At 38.6% G+C, this 18,808-nt stretch overlaps 1 long non-coding RNA gene across 1 annotated transcript in view, besides 2 other annotated features; it reads left to right on the top strand.

Annotated features, from left to right (window-relative positions):
* STXBP5-AS1 (STXBP5 antisense RNA 1) overlaps positions 1 to 18,808 on the top strand; it is a 363,227-nt gene that overhangs the window by 310,617 nt on the left and 33,802 nt on the right. The window lies entirely within an intron of this gene.
* Positions 1,731 to 2,025: a silencer, noted in NCBI's record as "tiled region #12413; HepG2 Repressive non-DNase unmatched - State 22:ReprW". NCBI's record gives its function as "represses a minimal TATA promoter and a strong SV40 promoter by Sharpr-MPRA in HepG2 cells {active_cell/tissue: HepG2}" and the evidence as "EXISTENCE:reporter gene assay evidence [ECO:0000049][PMID:27701403]".
* Positions 13,271 to 13,565: an enhancer, noted in NCBI's record as "tiled region #4352; K562 Activating DNase matched - State 5:Enh". NCBI's record gives its function as "activates a minimal TATA promoter and a strong SV40 promoter by Sharpr-MPRA in K562 cells {active_cell/tissue: K562}" and the evidence as "EXISTENCE:reporter gene assay evidence [ECO:0000049][PMID:27701403]".

Here is an 18,808-nt window from a genome sequence, read left to right as displayed (position 1 = left end):
ACAATCCCATGTTGGTCACTTCAATAGGCTTTGACTTCCTACCAAATTTTCTGCTCTTTTTCCTTGTCTACTTTGAGTTTCCTTGAAGCCCCTGTTTGATCCTTGTGGGTCTGTTTGGTCCAGTCAGCCTCAACTTTATCCTAAGGAAACACAGACTCAGTTTTAATGCTTGCTTGAGATCCCACTCATGGGATATGTGAACTTAAGTGACTTCCTTCTCTTTCTGAGTATATCTCAAAGTTAGATACTGTAGCTTCTTCAGTGTGAAGTGGAATAGTTATTACTGCGTCAGAAGTGTTGGTTAAAGTCTTCTGACTCTAGAGGAAAATTTAACTTGAAAGGAATTTAAACATTGTATTGTTGGAACAAAATTATGACTCTCATTCATTTTATAAGAATAAATCATAAAATCTACTTTCTGTGTAACTTGATATATTCCTTTCATTTGAAACACAGAAATTAAAATGAGTTGATAGTGCTATTTAAGAAGAATTCTTGCACTCCAACTCCATAGCTAGAGTTGAAGTTTTTATCATCTACTAAACAAACTACACCCCTTACTTTTAAATACGTGGAATAAAATATGTATCACTGAATTATAAAAGAAACTCATGAGTATCTTCACCATTATTAATTAACTTAATGGTAAGATTGATACTTCTTTTTAAGCTAATGGGCTTCAGTTTGCTTGTAGCAATTCAGAAATGATAATAGTAGTTCCTGGGCTAACCATCTTAGTCTTATCTCTCCCCAAGGAGTAGACATCATTATCCCCATTTCGATGAGTGAACTGAGGGAACATGAGAAACCAAAGATCACACAATAAGTACTTGGGCTGAGATTTAAAAACAGGCTGAACACTGAGCATTTCCACTCACAGGAAGTAAGTTAAAAACTTCCAAATGTAATTGCCAACATTTTTCAGATACCTGTGTTCCACCCCCTCTGCCTCCTGAGTCCTACTCATCCTTCAAGTCCCACTGAAATGACAAATCCTTCAGGCCACATAGCTCTTTCTCACCTGAAGAATGACTTTTGGGGGTTGGGATGGGTTGGTATTTAGCAAAGCAGAGGCAGGGACTTGGGCGATCTGCCTGTGGTGTGTGGAATGGGCTGCCTGGAGATGCATGTGGGCTGCAAACACTAGGGAAGCTCCAAACCAGACCTACCTCATGAAGAGTGGAAGGAGCTGACCAACAAGCCAGATGGGATGATAAACAGGAAGGCTGGGTCATTCTACCAGAAAAGAGGATGTTAGGCTGACTCATAAGCATAAGACCACTAACTTGAAAGCATACTTTTGCTTAAAGTTTAGGAAGAGAAATACCATTCAATCAAAATTTATTTTGTTTTGTAACATAAGAAAAAAAACCCAAATTCCAATAAACGTGTTAATTTAATCCAGTGGTTTAGAGGTATGTCAGAATGCAATCAGAGTGCCAACATTTCTCATTTAATCATAACATGCAATCCTTATATTAATGACACAGTTTTAAAACAATATTGGGGATCTTAAATTAGAACTCACAGTCACTCATAGAAGGGGCTGTAACATCATCATCTGCCTCTAAAACCTTGTACATCAAATCCTTCATCTTGCTGCTAGAGTTATTTTTTAAAACACAGATCAGCTTGAGTAACTTTCCTCCTCAAAAACTTACAATGGCTTCACACTTCTTGGGAGTAGATTTCTAGCAGTGTTCTAAATTCTCCATGATGGAGCACCTTTCTGACTCTCCTGGTTCATCACCCAGAGCTTCTCTGAATTAACACTTACCTTCCCTGCCGAAGCTTGTCTCAGGCTGTTCCTGAAATTTGTTTACCTTTCCTCATCTCTCTGTATGGTAAGATCTTTTCATCCTTGATCTAACACATTCCCTCCATGAATCCTCTTCTAATAGTGCAACCCCACATACCCTGTCCCTCCAGGGAACTCCCAGGCTCTGTCATACTCATACAGCTGCAACTTACAGCTGCAACTTAAGGCAACTCCAGAGTTTCTCATTTGGTAGTTCTGGGCCGAGTCCCAAGAATGTACATTTCCAGCAGTTTCCAGGTATTGCTGATGCTACCGGTCAGAGAACCCCTGCCCTATATAGTCTAGCATAATGCCTTAAAAATAGCAGGCCCAACAAATACTTGGATAATTGGATAGGTCAAACAGCCAGACATTTTGACTGAAAATTTAGAAGGTGTTTTATGAAGACTTTCAGCAGTGTGTTGAAGAATATAAACATGATGATTTTCATTTTAGAATAGGAAAGAAAGTAGAGTTTATATAATCTCTGAAAGTTGACAAATTTATGCTTAAGTATTGTCCAAGCTGTTCTGATCTGTATGGGACCCTTGAAAGGGGTCATAGGGCCCATGGTGAATGAAGATCAAGCTATAGGGAATTGGAAGGAAAGGAAATTGAAAATTTTCCTCAAGGACTCATGTCAGTCAAAGTAGTTCTTACTTAATCAACAAGGAAATGCAAACTCAGAAAAGCCACATAGCAAGGACCTGAGCTCCATCTGGGTCTGCAGTCCCCCACACTCAGTGCGCCATCTGCTAGCACTCATGACTCCTCAGAAGCGGTAGCATCTCATGTGGAACTAAATAACACAGACTGTGAAAATATTAGGTTCACGCCCAGGGCAACAACCCCCAAAAATCCCAATTTATTTTGAATGAGTTGTAATGAGTAGGTGGCAAATTTATGACACCAAGCATGTGCTGTTCTATCACTTGGTATTCCCTAGGCAGCATTCATTTCATGCCTCCTAAGCCATGACATGGAAGCCTGGCCTTCTGTTTTTGTCTGGTCAAGACCTAGAGCTCTGTGGGAACAGTTTTTGTTTTTGTTTTTTTTAAACATTTACATGGCCCTTTTCTGCTCTTTGGGGAAATGGGAGAGATTAGAGCTGCTGCCACCCAGAGGGTGGAATAAGTCAATGGAATGGATGAGTTAGCAGGGAATGAGCCTATACCTACAGGTAGGAAGCGAGGTTTTCATGAATCTCTAAATGCCATTTATCTACTTTCAGAGATAAACAAACAAATAGATCTAAGCCTTTTCTGTGAGAGTCAAGTAGGTTATTCCCGAGCCCAGACGACCTTCTAGTGTAGACTCAGTGCAGTGTACAGTGTGACCTAGGAACATCAGCATCGCTGGGGAACTTGGTAGAGTTGCAAGTTAGGCTCTACACCAGCCCACCGAGCCAGAAATTCTGGCGGGTGGGGCCCAATAACCTGTATTTTAACAAGCCCTCCTGGCGACTCTGGTGCAGACTAAAGTTTAAGAATTACTGCTAGTATTTAGTTATCAAGAAATAGGCAATTCTAAAAACTTCAAGTCTCTCTTCAAGGACTGTTACTAAATCATAAGCAATTAGTGCCAAAATTCTGTAGTTATGCTGAAGTGTTTTTGGACATCAAAGGTCTTAATTTTTGAAGAGGTTTCAGAAGAATGCAAAAAATTGGTTGTTGTTTTTTTCTTTTGTTTTTTGTTATTTAAAATTTTTCTTTGTATTGAATGTGTATTTGAGGACAAACATTTATGTCATAGTATGGAAAAAGACCCTGCCACAGACATTTAGAGTTGAAAGGTCACCTGAAGTATCATCAGGCCTAATCCTTTTGTAGAGTTGAAGAAAGAGGCTCAAAGGTTGACATGACTTCCTGGGATCCCAGCTCCTTGCTTTCCACGTGGTACCCCACTTTCACTGGGTTTGTGGATAAGAAAGGGGGGCATAAATAATAGCAAGAAAGAAAAAATAAACGGTCTATTTCATTTACCCTGGCCGTCATTTACCATAGCTCTGTAAGACAATACCCAAGTAAACTACCTCCATATAGTAATTCAGAATGTCTCCCTTGGGCCTCTTTAAGATTATAATTTTTATTCAAGTTTATAGATGTATTGAGGTTATAAACTATACTTTGAGACTCTGATAACATTTAAGAATCTTATTTCTGAAATATTCTCTTCATCTAATACACATATGTGTGTGCACATGCACATATACACCCACACATACACACTCGATGTGATTCTGCTTCCAATTGCAGAATTATCCCCCTTGGACTCTGTCCATGAACCCTCAGAGGCCCCATGGAGTTGAGGTTAAGAATTTCTTCTTTAAGAAGAGTCATTTACCATTAAGGAGGAAGGAGCATCTTTCCCAGATTATCCTTTCCATCTAGAGATTTTCTTTGGGAAAGTTTTTTGCTCCTCCATGAATGAAATGTAAGTAACAGTCAAGCTTTGTTTTCCTCGCCCTCCCCTCCATTGCCCCCAATTTAGCCCTGCATTTGCAAATGCCCAGCAGTGGTGTCCAAGGGGTAGATCCTCCAGTTTGTTCTCCATAGACCTTCTATGTCCACCTCCACAAGGACTCCTGCCCTGCCACACTGCACTGGCATTGTGAATATTATTGGATGGGGGAAGGAATCTCTAGAGGCAATTTTAATATGCTGCATTGTACCGGAGATAAGCAGAACATACAACTCACTGCTGCGTGCTGGTCATACAGATGCAGCAGAAATTTTATGCACATTTGGAAAGCTTGCTTATTTCAGGATTTTGTTCAGAAGTGAGTCACTGGAGCTTCTCTTTCTCACTCGCTTTCTCCTTTGTGACTGTCTCTCAGAATGATAAAATTCCCAACTAGCAGCCTCAACGTGAAGAAGCTCATCCAGTGACAGTGCCAAGGGACCATCACGGCAGAGTTACAGTTTCCACAATAAATAAGGGACTGAAGAAGCCCAGAGGGAGGGTTTGGAGATGAACATAAAGTAGGCTCTGGGGTGACGAGAGCTGAGGGAGCCACAGTCTGGAGAGACTAGGAAGACAGTTACAGTGTCTAAAATCTGTTATGTCCGAGGGGGCCACAGTCGGGAGAGACCAGGAGACAGTTACAGTGCCTAAAATCTGTTATGTCCACAGACATAATGCTGTTAGGAGGTCCATGGTAAAAATGTGATGGTGTGACCTAGGTGTAGGAATTCTAGAATCCAGTCACATAGATTAGTTGATGGGTCACATAATTCAGAAAGCAAAATTTCAATGATTCATCATGGATACAGATATTTGCATTGGGGTGCGTTAGGGTGGTGAAGTGGGGGCCAGCTGACTGGGAGGCTGAGCTGAGAGAAGCACACCAGGTGGGCCACACTGGTGGCTGGGGTAAATGACAGCTGCGGGAGGACTTAAGAGGTCTGATGAGTGGTTAGAGCTCCATAAATCAGATTTTAAAGTTTATTTTTTAATATTCCCATTTTTTTGAAATCTGATTCAAGAAGAAAGGGCCATTACTAGCTGGATTGAAAAAAAAATCTGATTTTGTTTGAAACCCTTTTGTAGAACACTCAGAATGATCCTGGCAGGCCATGAGTGACTATGTAAAAAGGAAGCCTAAATAAATAGTTCAGAGTTTAAAATATTAAAATTATCTTAAAATCCTATTTAAGGCTAGTAGACCATTTTCCAAACGGGCTACCATTTTACTACCTTTCATGAAGTAAAATGTCACAGGTTTCATAGTCATAAGCTTTAATACATATGCTTGGAGTAAGGAAGTACTGCATGGCTAGTGTGTTCATTCTTCATGACAATTCTACATGCACCATTTTAATCTTCATTATTCTTTATAGACATTAGCTAATTTATGCAGTAGGCACTAGAGAGTGCAGTGTTATTTCTGCTATTGGGCAGGCAGAGGAATTAATGCACAAGTGAAGGGCCTTGATTCTCCTAGGTCCCATTTCTGAACACTGATGCAGCTGAAATATCGAAGACACAATGACAACTTTCTGTTGACTGTAAGCCACAGAAAGATAAAATATTTGCCAGTTTGATTGGAAAGTGTCGTCACTTACCCTGCAAGTCACTTACTCTGCAAGGCTTAAATGAAGCAGAGATTTACAAGCAATTAAGAACCCATGTGCATTCCCACTTTAATACTGCAATTACAATGCCAGACTCTTTGCTACCTGCAGTAGCACCGAGGAGTGCCTCAGGTCCTTCTCTCTAGGGAGAAGGAGGCAGCTTTGCTTTTCTTAGAGTTCTGTGTTCTCTTTCTGCAGCAGTTATAATGGGACCTTCTCAAAGTGAGCATTTGCGCAATCAGGCAGGTTTGCAATGCTCTCTATCCCAGGCAAACAACTTTTAGTCATTCTTTCCCTGACCTTTGTGAATTTCTTTTGGTCAAATGTATTCATTGCTGGGGAGAATTGCTGGCTAGCTTCTTAATGTCCTAGGTCCGGGAAAACTCCACTACCCATTTTTTTGTCAATCATTTTGACATTATTGCTTGGTTCTGTCAGAGGTGTTCGAACCAGAGCAACTCCATTTTGAATAGGGGCTGGGTAAAATAAGGCTGAGACCTGCGGGGCTGCATTTCTAGGAAGTTAGGCATTCTAAGTCACAGAATGAAATATGAGGTCAGCACAAAATACAGGTCACAAAGACCTTCCTCATAAAACAGTGGTGGTAAAGAAACTGGCCAAAACCCACTAAAACCAAAATCACAACAAAAGTGAAACTGACCTCTGGTCGTCCGCACTGCTCATTATATGCTAATTATGATGCATTTGCATGCTAAAAGACACTCCCACCAGCGCCTTGACAGTTTACAAATGCCATGGCAACATCAGGAAGTTACCCTATATGGTCTAAAAAGAGGAGGAACCCTCAATTCTGGGGATTGTCCACCCCTTTCCTGGAAAACTTATGAATAATCTGCCCCATGTTTAGCATATAATCAAGAAATAACCATAAAAATAGGTAACCAGCAGCCCTTGGGGCTGCTCAGCCTATGGTGTAGCCATTCTTTTATTCCTTTACTTTCTTAATAAACTTGCTTTCACTTTATGAACTCACCCCGAATTCTTTCTTACATGAGACTCAAGAAACCTCTCTTGGGGTCCGGATCAAGATTCCTTTCTGGTAACAGTCCCCCTAAAAGTAGTACTGATGAAATTAACTAGAAATTAATTTTGGAGGATCTGATTGAGACCTAGATAGAACGTTAAGATTGTGTAACTCTTGATCCCTTTTGGACCTAAATATTTCTTTTGGCATTTTCCTGTAGGCTGTGCAGATTTGCATGGTTCCACTAATTATTATATAAATTTGGAAATTTGGGCAAATTGTTTTGTCTCTTTAAGTTTTAGTTTCCTCATCTATAAAACGGGGGTGATCCAAGTGAAATGCTTAAGTAATGCCTCATTCATAACAAGCATTACAAAGTTGTAAGCAATTATTCATTATTTCATAGGAATCACAGTTTGATAATTAAATGTAATAAAAGAAGGTGAATCTTTTCATCAGGCTAATGCATTCCTTTGAGATTTTTTGGAAAAATATTCAAAATTTCTTTTAGTTTCTCCTTTTACAAAGAAAGTAAAGAAAATATAACCTTTATAAGAACAAAAATAGCTTGGCAAAGGTTTCCTAGAATCATTTGAATTTTGTTACTAACAGCAAACCAGTATCTCTCCAGCTTTGTGCTACATCTGCCTATTCTTTTTCTGAAATTCCTCTTTGAAAAACCACCCACATTTCTCTATGTCTTTCCTCCAATTTTTCAATCATCCCTCTGGCTCAACTGGGACTTTGTCACCACTCTTTTTTCTGCCATTTCCTTATTGTCCACATAATTTCTGAAAAATAGAGAGGCAAAAATGGAATATGTCTGTCCACAAGAGATTCTCACAATGAAGAGAAGAAGAGGGGCATGGAGGGGAGAGAGCGTTCATTTTGATACTGGCAGAAAACAGAAGATCCTCACAAGAACAACACCTTACATTTCATTTGTTTCTCCTTGGCTCTTCTTTTCCTCTGAGGAACAGTCATTACTGGAGTTGTTTCTCTTGAGACAGTGTCAACAGAGAGGCTCAGCAGTAGAGAAACTTTTATTAACCCTGGCACCAGCCCGTTCACAGGGCAGGGAGCTCTTTCACAGCCAGAAAGCAGTCAGTGTTGGAGAAAATAGACATACGAGAATTAGCAGGGAGGAGAGGTGGGCAGGAGGTATGAACAGGCTGCAGGTAGCAATGATGAGAACATCTTGGTGTAGCATCTTTCAGGTTTGTGCAGACAAAACCAGGGACCTTGTTCCTTTTCTGGAGTTTGCTCTTCCATGACAAGGGGATAGAGTAGTGTGACAAGGACCCCATTTTTAGCTGAACAAAGGAGAAAGTCCTACAACAGTAGCCTATTGGAAAATCTTCCACGCTTTCTTACATTTTGAAACAGAATACAGAGATTGGCATTGTTGTTCTCAATTTCAAAGCAGTAAAAGATTGTGTGTGAAATGAACTGGATGTCCCATAGTCTGATGTCCAAGGACTGGGCAGTATAAAAGAGAAAGCTGAAGTAAGTGGCTGCTTTGGGAAAGTTGGTTGTTGGGAGAACAGCTCCTGTTTGGGGAACATTTTGGCAATATCACTTGCATAAAATATATCTAATATTTAACACCCACAAACATTTCCTTAGATGAACATACAAATTTTAAAACATGCATAGATGTTGCCCAAAGTTCTGCTATTTTTTTCTGAATTATAGTCTTTGTGATAAAGAAAAAAATCTGCTCAAAAAATAACTAATCTTATAAACCATTCTAAAAATATTTATAATATCAAGGCAGCTATTACAAATTCTTCTATTTTTTTAAATGACTATTTTCTCTTATGTTAAATCAGGTTTTGGTCTGATTTGGGAGTGTTTGTTATCCCTCTCTTCTTACAAGAACCTGTATTGATTCTTTCAACGGTAGAAAATAATTCATTTAGTTTGATACTGCTTCCCAAATACCTATATTTACTCTTAAATATCTCTATGAAAAGTTGCCCTTTCTCTTATTCTCTTTAGACATGCAAAGGTCACTTTTTCGATAAAAAGGAATAACTCCATAAACAGTCCTAAACTAATGACTGTAAAACTGAAACCCAACACTTTCATCAACCTTACTGAGACTGTCAGCCTCTCACCACCCCTGATGAGCAATTCCAGTTAATGTTTTACCTCCATGAAAACTCAAAGGCAGAGAAGCCTAGCTCTGAACTTATTGTAGGGCCTTAGGCTAACTCATTGATTTTTCTGGGCCTGCTCTAAGATGTTATATAATAATTTCCTCCCTAGTCCTCCTCAGAAGGCTTGGAAGGAATTGGAAACTAAAGGCCTAACCAAACCTTTACCATGTATAATTTTAGAACTTTGGCTGAGTATGGAAGACACATAGGAAGGCACAGCTGAGTTACGTGTAAGGGCTGGGGAGTGTTGAATTTATTTCTATAAAAATATGCGAGGAAGTTAATCTTTTTATTCATAAGAGCATGAATACAGAGGAGCTGGGATGAGTGACGCTGGAAACATAGGGCAAGACAAATGACTTTTAATAACAAAAATGGCGAATACTCAATTCTAAATTTTTGGTGAAGAGGAGCCGTAAGGCTTTTCTTTCCTTTAACATCTCTACAAGCCTTCAGTGAAGTCCACTGCCCACATAGAGGCTCTTTTATGTATAGAGAAATCAAAGAAAAACCCTGAGCTAAGCATCTGGGTTAGTGCAGAACAGGAAACACTCATTCATCAGGGCCAGGAAGGTGGAGCCATGAGGAGCCATGAGGATCTATGAGAATGTAATCCTGGAGACGTTATAGAAATCTTAAGAAAGGCAATGGGTGCTCTCTGGGTTTGTTATAGGAATGAGGGCCCATCTTACCATGAGCTTAACAGGGCAGTATTGCCCCTCATCTCTCCTTAGTTCAGCTAAAGACGAGGTCCTTGCTCACGGCCACAAAAAATTAGGCTCACAGACAATTTGAAGGGTGAGAATAATGGAATTTATTGGCGAAAAGGAGAAAAAGAGGGAAATAAGGACTCTCCACAGAGTGAGAATCCTGCTAGTATAGACTTCCTGCCTTGCAGCTTGAATTCCAAGTTCCACCCAGGAAGAGGAGGGCCCAGGCTCCTCCCCACTGCAATAGGCAGGAACTTCTGTGGCTCCACCCCAGTGTGCAACCCTCCCAGTGCACAGGTCAGTTGGAGGCTCTGCCAGGGAGCCCTTCCCACCTGACTGTCTCAGTATGACCCCAAATGGCAGCTGATGATCAGTCTGAGACTCTGACCAGGTTTGAAGCCAGACTCAGCCATGCTCTAGCTAATTAATATGGGGAAGGTACAAATTGGAGCCTAAGTTTCCTTATCAGTAACTGCCAATGTAACAATTGATTCAGGGTCACCAATGGGTGTAAAAATAGTTAGGTAAAATATTGTTGAAGAAAGGAATAATCTCAAAGTAAAACTCCCCATATTACTTTCAAATTATAAGAGAAAATACACTCTTCCAATTGAGAGAGTAGGCAGATACTACCTTATCTGAGTAATCAAACTTAACATCAATAATGAGACTGATGATGGTACATAGATTTTTGTGGAAGAGCATCCTTGTTTCTAAGAGATAGATACTTAAGTATTTATAGGTGATATATCATGATGTTTACAACTTTAAAATGTATTGTCTATTTCTATATAGAGAGAAAGCCAAGAAGCAGCATAGTAATAATCAGTGAATATAGGTGAAGAGTATGTAAATTTTTATTGCATTATTATTTCAAATTATAAGTAAAATACCTAGCATCATATCAGGTTATGCTAGTCTGTGCTAGTTGCATGTTGATTACCTCTTACTCTTCCTTCCTTTTTCCTGTGCTAGACTTTTTCACTTTTCCTCTATCATGATAAGCACTCATTAATGGTTATTTAAATATATCTTGGGTATAGTTATATTGCCCTCAAAAAAAGTAGACTCTGAAAAAACAGAAAGCACCAAAAGGGCAGAGTGTTGTAGAAATGCCAGGAAAGGCAATAACTGGCAGCTCTGCGAGGTTGTCCTGTTCTCCAAGGGGCATCCCATAGTGTGACATATTAGATATTTTGTAGAATTAAGAGGAAGAAATTAGTAGCTTGGAGAAAACAATGCCCAGAATATTAATTTCTTAATAAATATGGTTATAGAACAGACATTTATTTCAGAGTGCTGATTTAGTAATGAAAAACCATGATTTTCTTTTCTTAGAACATTTGCCCCCAAGGTAATAGGTTTTAATGCCTGTGGAAATGATGAGCATTTATTTGGAAGTTGACCCAGGGGTCTGAATTTTGGGCACAGCTGATAATATACCATGGAAAGATATTTCTGCCAAAGCAGCTGGTCAGTTTCACTGGTGGCCAGTGCCTATCTTGATTTTTAGGATAAACACTTCAGGGTTCTGGGATATTTTTTCTCTTGCTGTGCCTACTTCACATCTTTAAAGGTGAAATGGAAATAGAGAAGAGATGAAGGAACGTGCTTCCTTTGGCTGTCTCTGGGGGCCATGATTCTCCTAAATTCCACTTCTTCTCTTTGTGACCTTGTAAAATGAGGCTTTTTATAATTTTATCATTAATCCTCAAAGCTCTCCCGGTAGAGGTCAGTGAGTAGTAAATTAGTTATCTTCACAACTTGTAAGGCAAGAAAATAGAAGCATTCATTGGGAAATTATTTTCTAAAATCATGTATCAAAAACTGAGTTTATCAATCAATCTTTCATTCCACGTGTACAAAGCATTATGTGGCATATAGAAAGATGTGGGGAAGAAAAGAGTTTAGGGCATAGTTTCTTCTACGTCAATGATAAAAATAATATAAGGTAGTGTGTGTGTGTGCATGTGCATATAAAATTGCCATACAAATTGTAAATTTCTGCCCAAATGTAAGCTGTTCGTATTATTGTATTCATCCAAGTTATCATCTTCCTCCTTCTCATCCTCTATGTTTATAACTATGGAGTTCTAAGGGTTTGAGAAGGAAGAAAAATGATTTACTGTTTGGAAAAACTCAGTGTAGGTAAATCTTGAGTGAAAACCATCATGCTGAAGATTTTAATTGATACAGGCAAGGATCAGGGCACATGTGTTCAGATGGAAAATGTAGTATGTGTGATAAGAGAGAAAGGATAACAAAACTTCCTGATTGCATCAGAATGGTAAATTAATAGGAGATATGGCAGTTGGGTCCAAACAAACGTGGGAGGATAGGAAATGCAGTAGCTGGAAAGCAATAAAGTCCATGGTCTTAGATTTTAGTTGGATTTAGGAAGCAATAAAGAGTAACTGTAGGATCCTAAGAAAGGAAATATCATGACAAAGTGATGCTTTCAAGTGTTTTGAATAGATTGTGAGCAATTGAAACCAGAAGCGGAAGGAGGCTTTTAAGATAGATCAGATTCAGGGAAATAAAGACCTTGCTTTGGTTGTGATATTAAGACAAAGACAATGGCTGTTTGGGGAGCACCCCGCTGGGTCGTGTGCCTGAGAAGGAAGGCTTTGCTAGGTGTTCAACATGTGGGAACCAAAGAAGGCTAAAATGATCTAAAATCAGAGAAGATTCCCGCTGGGGAAAGAATGTGAGAGAGGAAACGCTACTTGGAAAGAAAGATAGTTCTACTATAGCCTGAGGTGTTAGGTGAGACTGGAAATCAGATTAGCATTAAAAACTGGTGTTCTTTTAAGCGCTTGTCACTCTCAGTCACCTTTGGAAAACAGCTGATCACTGATGTCTACCCTCCAGTTTTTCTCCTTCTTTCCAGACTTGTTGTGGAAACATTATCTCTCCATCTCTGAGCTGCCGGGACTCTGGGTGCCTGTTTGTGGCCTGTCATTGTGGGTTGGAAGGGAGTTGGTGCCACAGTGGTGGCGGTGCTTGTCAGCTTGCTGAGGCATGTATTTTAGGTATTGCTGTTGTTTCTTTGTTGTTGTTTTATTTTAGAGAATTTCAAATAACAAGTGAATCCAAAAATTTATCGTTGATGTAATCTCTGCATTGCTAGCTCTTGACCTTTTCTTACAAAGAAAAAATTGCATTCCCTGCAACATTCTCCCTCAACCCAAATGTGCTGTGTGGCACAGTCAAATGCATTTTATATGAAGAAGGAGAACAGGGTTGCTGTACCTGCCTGGAACTGCTGTCTTTCCATGGGGCTCCCACTTTCCACACAAAGTTTACCTAACCATAGTTTACCCTCTCTGCTGCTCAGTGTCTTAGAAAAAAACAATTCTAGTCCTCTTTTTTTTTTTAATACTCAAATGAGCAGGATACTTGAACAGAACTCTTTTGCCATCAGATCATATATTAATCATGAAAATGACTGTTACATAAATTTGTAAGGACAAGGGCTGGAAGAACAATCTGTGTATTGTACAGAACTCACTGTGCTTATATGGAATCTTTGGAAAGAAAGGATGTCAAGGGCTGTGTCCCCAAAGCTTTAACCTCCCCATCTCATACGTGAACCCCTGGGACCCCTGGCTTCTTGTGGATGCAAGTAAGAAAGACTCAAGGTGTAATGGGGCTGGATAAGGGATCATGTCCTGTTTGGCCTTCTGTCATGTCTCTGCTTCCCTTTGCTGTCACATGGCTGTTCCCAGACTAAACCAAGGGCCAGGCTGCTTATTCTCATAGCCCAATAACAAGATGCAGATGAACTGGGGAAGAAGGGAGTTTATTTCTACAACCGGGTACAGGGAGAAGGCCTGGAAAATATCACCAGTCCAACACAAAATTACAGAGTTTTCCAATATCTAAAGCTTACCTTCTAAGCTTTATGTCTACGTGTAAGTGTGCATTCATCTATAGACATAAGTGACTAACTTCTTCTAACCTGTAACTAAAATCTGAGTCCTGAAGACCTTCCTCTGGAGTCTCAGTCAGATTACTTAATCTAAATGGGTCTGAGTGCTGAGATGGTTACCCTCATCTTGTCTTGGGCTAAATCATGGAGGTTTGGGGAGTTTCTTCAGAGCCCCAATAAACTTGTTTGTCCTAAATCGGTCCTCTTAAGAATTGCTTCGTTATCTTGTCATGCCCAGGAAAGGCCTAGGCAAAACTCTTGGTGGACTTCTGTTACATTCCAGCCTTTGTAGAAGGGTGCTGGCTCTTTCCACTTTTAATATTTGACTTACCCCCTCAGTCAGTGCTGAGAGAGTTGTTATGGAGGCCTGTATTAGTGAGACCTGGCCTGCCACATGACCAGTCCTCAAATTCCAAAGGTAGTTGGTATAAATAATTTGTCTAAGTGCTCTCACCTCTTCTGAGTGGAGACTGTCATGCCTGGACAGCATAACCTTAGTCATAATTAGTTTGGGTTCCTTTTGGATCCTTTATCTCCCTGTCCACACCCCACTCCCTGCCCCCACCAAAAAAACGCTGGGCTGGGGATTCTTTAGCAGAGGCTGTGGGCTAGATAGTCTCAGCACGGAGAGGTCTCTAAGTATGGCAGCCCTATGACCTACATATCCCAAACACCTCCATTCCAGCCAGTGCAGGTACTCACTGCACCCCAAACCCATCTTTGTATCTTGCTACTGCTTTTATTCTCCGGTGTATGCCTTTTCCACCATTGGTAGGGTTTCTTCCCTCACTTTAATTGCCCCAATCCTATCTACCCTTAAAACACAATTGAAACTGTCCAAGAAGCCTTTCATCCTTATCTCAGGGGGAGGTGAATGCTATCTGATTATGCTCTCGCATGGCATTTTAATTCATGTATCATTTATTTAGCATCACTCTTTACTGCTTTCTATTATCTATGCACATGTGTATTTCTCATCTCCTCAACTACATTACATACTCTTTGAAGCTAAAGAATAGGTACTTTATAAAGGCCTATTAATTGAGAGTCAATTCTAAAATCTTGGGAAACTCAATGGGGTCTTGATTATCTCTTGTAAATCAATGCTGTAAAGAGCTTCCCCATTCTCTTGTGGTACTAGTGTTATGGAAGTGTACGAAGGGGAAGGGAAATAGCATATCCAATAAAGAGACAAGTCTCAGAGGAAGCGCTGACAAGGAGATACAGAGACCTTGATTACTTAATTTTAGAGTAGCAAGCATTTCAGATTCCCAGAATCTAACCTATTCCAAGTAACACCACCAAAAGACAATGGAGCCAGATTGGTGGATTATGAGAACTTTTTTCCACTAAGGTTATGCCACCCTGCCAACAAATATAGAAGAGAAGATTCATGAACTGGAACATTAATTTAGAATCTAGAGGGAAGCCAAAGGCTGTGATAGTTTGACCTTTAGCACACAGTCTATTTCAGACTAAATTTTATTATGGAAGCACATTCCACAATATGCTTGTAGTGAGAAATAGAATCTAATCAGAGCTGACAGCAGCTCCTAGCCTCAGCAAAACTAATACAGTGTGAGTAAGAAACTGGTTTTGTGGGAATCTGAAAGCAAAATACATTGGTAGCATAAGAGGACAGTGTGCCCAGGGTAACCCAGGGAGTGGCTGCTGCACACCCATTAGTTACATGGATTTGATCAGTAAAGGTCAAAGTTAAATAACTCACTGCATTAACAGCTAAATAAATGCTGTTTGTGCAGCTTGTCAACAAAAACTCAAATAAGAAGAGAAGTAGCTAAAATATTGTATATTGACTTAAATCAGAGAAAATACAAGAGAAAGAAATGATTTACAAAATTAGTTCTTTGAATTAAGATGATTGACATTAAGATATTCTACTCTGTTTCTAAGGTTCCCAAATAAAGAAACAATTTTTAAGATTATGAAACATGTTTGCTAAAAAAAAAAAAAAGAAGTGCAATTCTGTGGTTTATCTTTCAGCATTACATTTGATTTGCAAAGAAGATAGAAGTCTTAAGTCACTGTACAAAGAGAAAGATATAAAAGTTTAAAAAGATACAATGACTTTCCCATAGCTAACAAGGAGCCAGCATGGGTCCAAGTTTTGGCATCGATTTGGGGAAAATGCTTTCAAACTCTAAAATCTTATAAAGATGGGGAAAATAATTACTAATAAAGGCCTACTACGGCCTTTTATATGGTAAGTGCTTTACTCGTGGTGTTGAATTGACTGTACACAGGAAATTGTTTTATGTTTTTTCATTCTTTTTCTAGATTTTTTTCTTTCTTGAATTATTTAATTATCTTTCTTTGGTCTGGATAACATCTGCACATGTTATAAATTAACAAGTTTTCCTATTTTTATCCCTATATTAGCCACTTTTGTTGGTTTCTTATGTATCCCTTTAGGGTTATTCTATGCACTGATAAACATACATGAGCAAATAGAATTATATTTTGCACATTATTCTGAACATGGTTTTATAATTAAACTTATACCATATGAACTTTCACATATTTATCTGCCTTACCATTCTTAAATGCTAAGTATTTTATTGTACATATTTATAAGTTAAAGATATAGATTTAAGAGCCTTCTGCTGGTACACATTAGGGCTTTTTTGTATTACCAGAAGTGCTTCAATTAATATCTTTGCTCAAATACATTTTGCATGAGTATGAGTACATCAAAAGAATCAATTCCTAAAAATGAAACTTGGTGGGTTAATGGTAGGGCGCATCTGTAATTTTGATGGATATGGCCAATTGCTCTCTGTAGACCTTCTGCCAGCTATATTCCAGCAACAGTGGATAGGAGTGACAGTTTTTCCAAACCCTGATCAATAAACATGTTAACTTTTAAAAACAGTCATTGCCAGTTTTATCCATGTGTAATGTTATCTCAGTGTTTTACTTTTTCTCTTTTACTTTGAATGAGAATGAGCATTTTGTCATGTTTAAGGGTCACTGATATTTGTTTCATTGAATAGCCAGAATCAGTTTTCAAAAGTATCTCATTTTATTTTAAATTTAATGAGTAATTAAATTAATTAAAAATTATTAACAGTGCTTTAAAATATATTGATAATTTCTACCTTAGTGACAGTTGACACATTAACACTTGACCTCCTATAGTTTCCTTCGAGCCTTCTCATTTTTCTCATCTAAAAGTGGAGGAGTGCGTGTGTGTGTGTGTGTGTACGTGCGAGTGTGTGTGTGGAGTGGATTATCACCAACGTGGCTTTTATTCAGCATATCACTTACATGATTCCTTTGGCAAGCTTATGTATCTGTCCTTGTTAATGTCATTAAATGTCCAATATTCATGAGTAGAGGTTGGGCACATATGCCAATAAATGACTAGATTGACATCAATGAGGGAAAATGAATAAAGAATAAAGGTGAGGCTTATTCACTTTTTTCCCTTGAAAACAATCATAAAAGGATTATTTAAAATTTTCCCTTGTGATGAACACATTCTGCAATTTACAAATTCTTTCCGTTACTTAAATTTGCGGTCAAACCTAACTTCCCTATTTCATCTTAGAAATTCTTCTCTATTCACAGGATGGGGGGAGGTGAGATAAGCTATCTAAATCATTTAGGAGGCTCTGAGGTCAGCAGAGGAAGCCTCATGCCAAAGGAGACGACTTTCACCGGAAAAAGGGACTTACTTTATCTTTGAACACACAAATAAAGGCTGCACTATCAATGGAAATGCCCTATGGGAGACCTTGTGGAATGATTGATGCCATCCCTCATGTCTGTTGAAAACCTCCCTGGGCTTGCACAGGCCACATTTCTCAAATCTTATTTCCATGAAAACTCCAGGGGAGAGTGACAGCCTCTATCTGGCAACACTAGACTGTGTCACATGACTCAGCAGGGCAGATCAGAGTTGGACAAAGCAACTGTGCTGGTCTCTGTTGTCAATTTTATTGACAGAAAAATGAGTCATTAAAAAAGGGCATCTGAAATTATAGACCTAATTTAGTTCCTGTGTATTAACCAGCAATTCAATAAAGCCGAAGAGCAGTTTTCATGCATCTGAAATAGCTGAGTGTTATGGGTTTAAACATCTGTTTAGTCCCTGAAAAAATCAGAGATCTGCTGATTTATCCCCCCTTCTCCAAAACATACTTACCTGCAGCCGTGGAAAGTATTCAGTGCTCTGCAAGATGGTGAAAGCATTTCACAACCTTCTCATCCCCGCCTCTCTCTTTAGGCATACTTTTGGGAGAAAAAATATTTCTTCTCATTTGTGTTCTAATTTGAGAATTTGGTTTTATGCTTTAAAATGTTTCATTAAAGTCTTTCATTTTCTTAAACTTTGGTACTACTGTAGGAAAAGATTTGCTTACGAGAGCCATTCATTTGACTCTAATCGTATCTCTTTATTGCCATCGCAAACATCATTGGTAAAATTACGATTGAATGTGGAAATAACTAGGGGAAATTTGACAGAGAGATTTATTAAAAACCAAAATGCCTGTAAATTAGAAAGTACTCTGAATATTTCAGCCTGTATACCTTTGTTTTCAAAGAATGCATCTTAGTAAACTTTTTAGACGTGACAGCTAAAATCAAATTGAGAAAATTCAGAGAATATTCTGTGATTCTTCCAAAAGTATTCCCTTATACAAATATATTTTTTAAAAATAAGGAGCCACTCAAATAATTAGGAATTATTCTTTCTGTTTATACTGCATATTCCAAGACAGTAACAGAGCAATATTTTCCTCCATAGTTAGTGTCTTTACAGACAGAATATGACAAACAAATGTTATGGTCTGATAGCTGTCTGGAAATAAAATATTTATAGTTTTTAAGCCAATAATAATCATATAGAAAATTGTAAATAATAATCATATAGAAAATATAATAGGAAAAATATAGAATTAAAAATAGCAACAAATATGACAAATATCTAGGAATTACCTGAAAAGAAGTATTTAGCTATATGGAGAAAACTACTAAACTTCATTGAAAGGCACATGGATGATTTGAATAAGTGCATTCCAAGTGGGAAAACAAAAATATTCTGTTGATGTCAATATTCTGTTGATGTTAAATGATGTTTACATTTAATGCAATCTCAAGTCTTCAAACATTTGAATTTTTGAGA

Source organism: Homo sapiens, chromosome 6 (assembly GCF_000001405.40).
Source record: "Homo sapiens chromosome 6, GRCh38.p14 Primary Assembly".
Taxonomy (NCBI): domain Eukaryota; kingdom Metazoa; phylum Chordata; class Mammalia; order Primates; family Hominidae; genus Homo; species Homo sapiens.
This window is presented reverse-complemented; position numbering and strand designations above follow the sequence as displayed.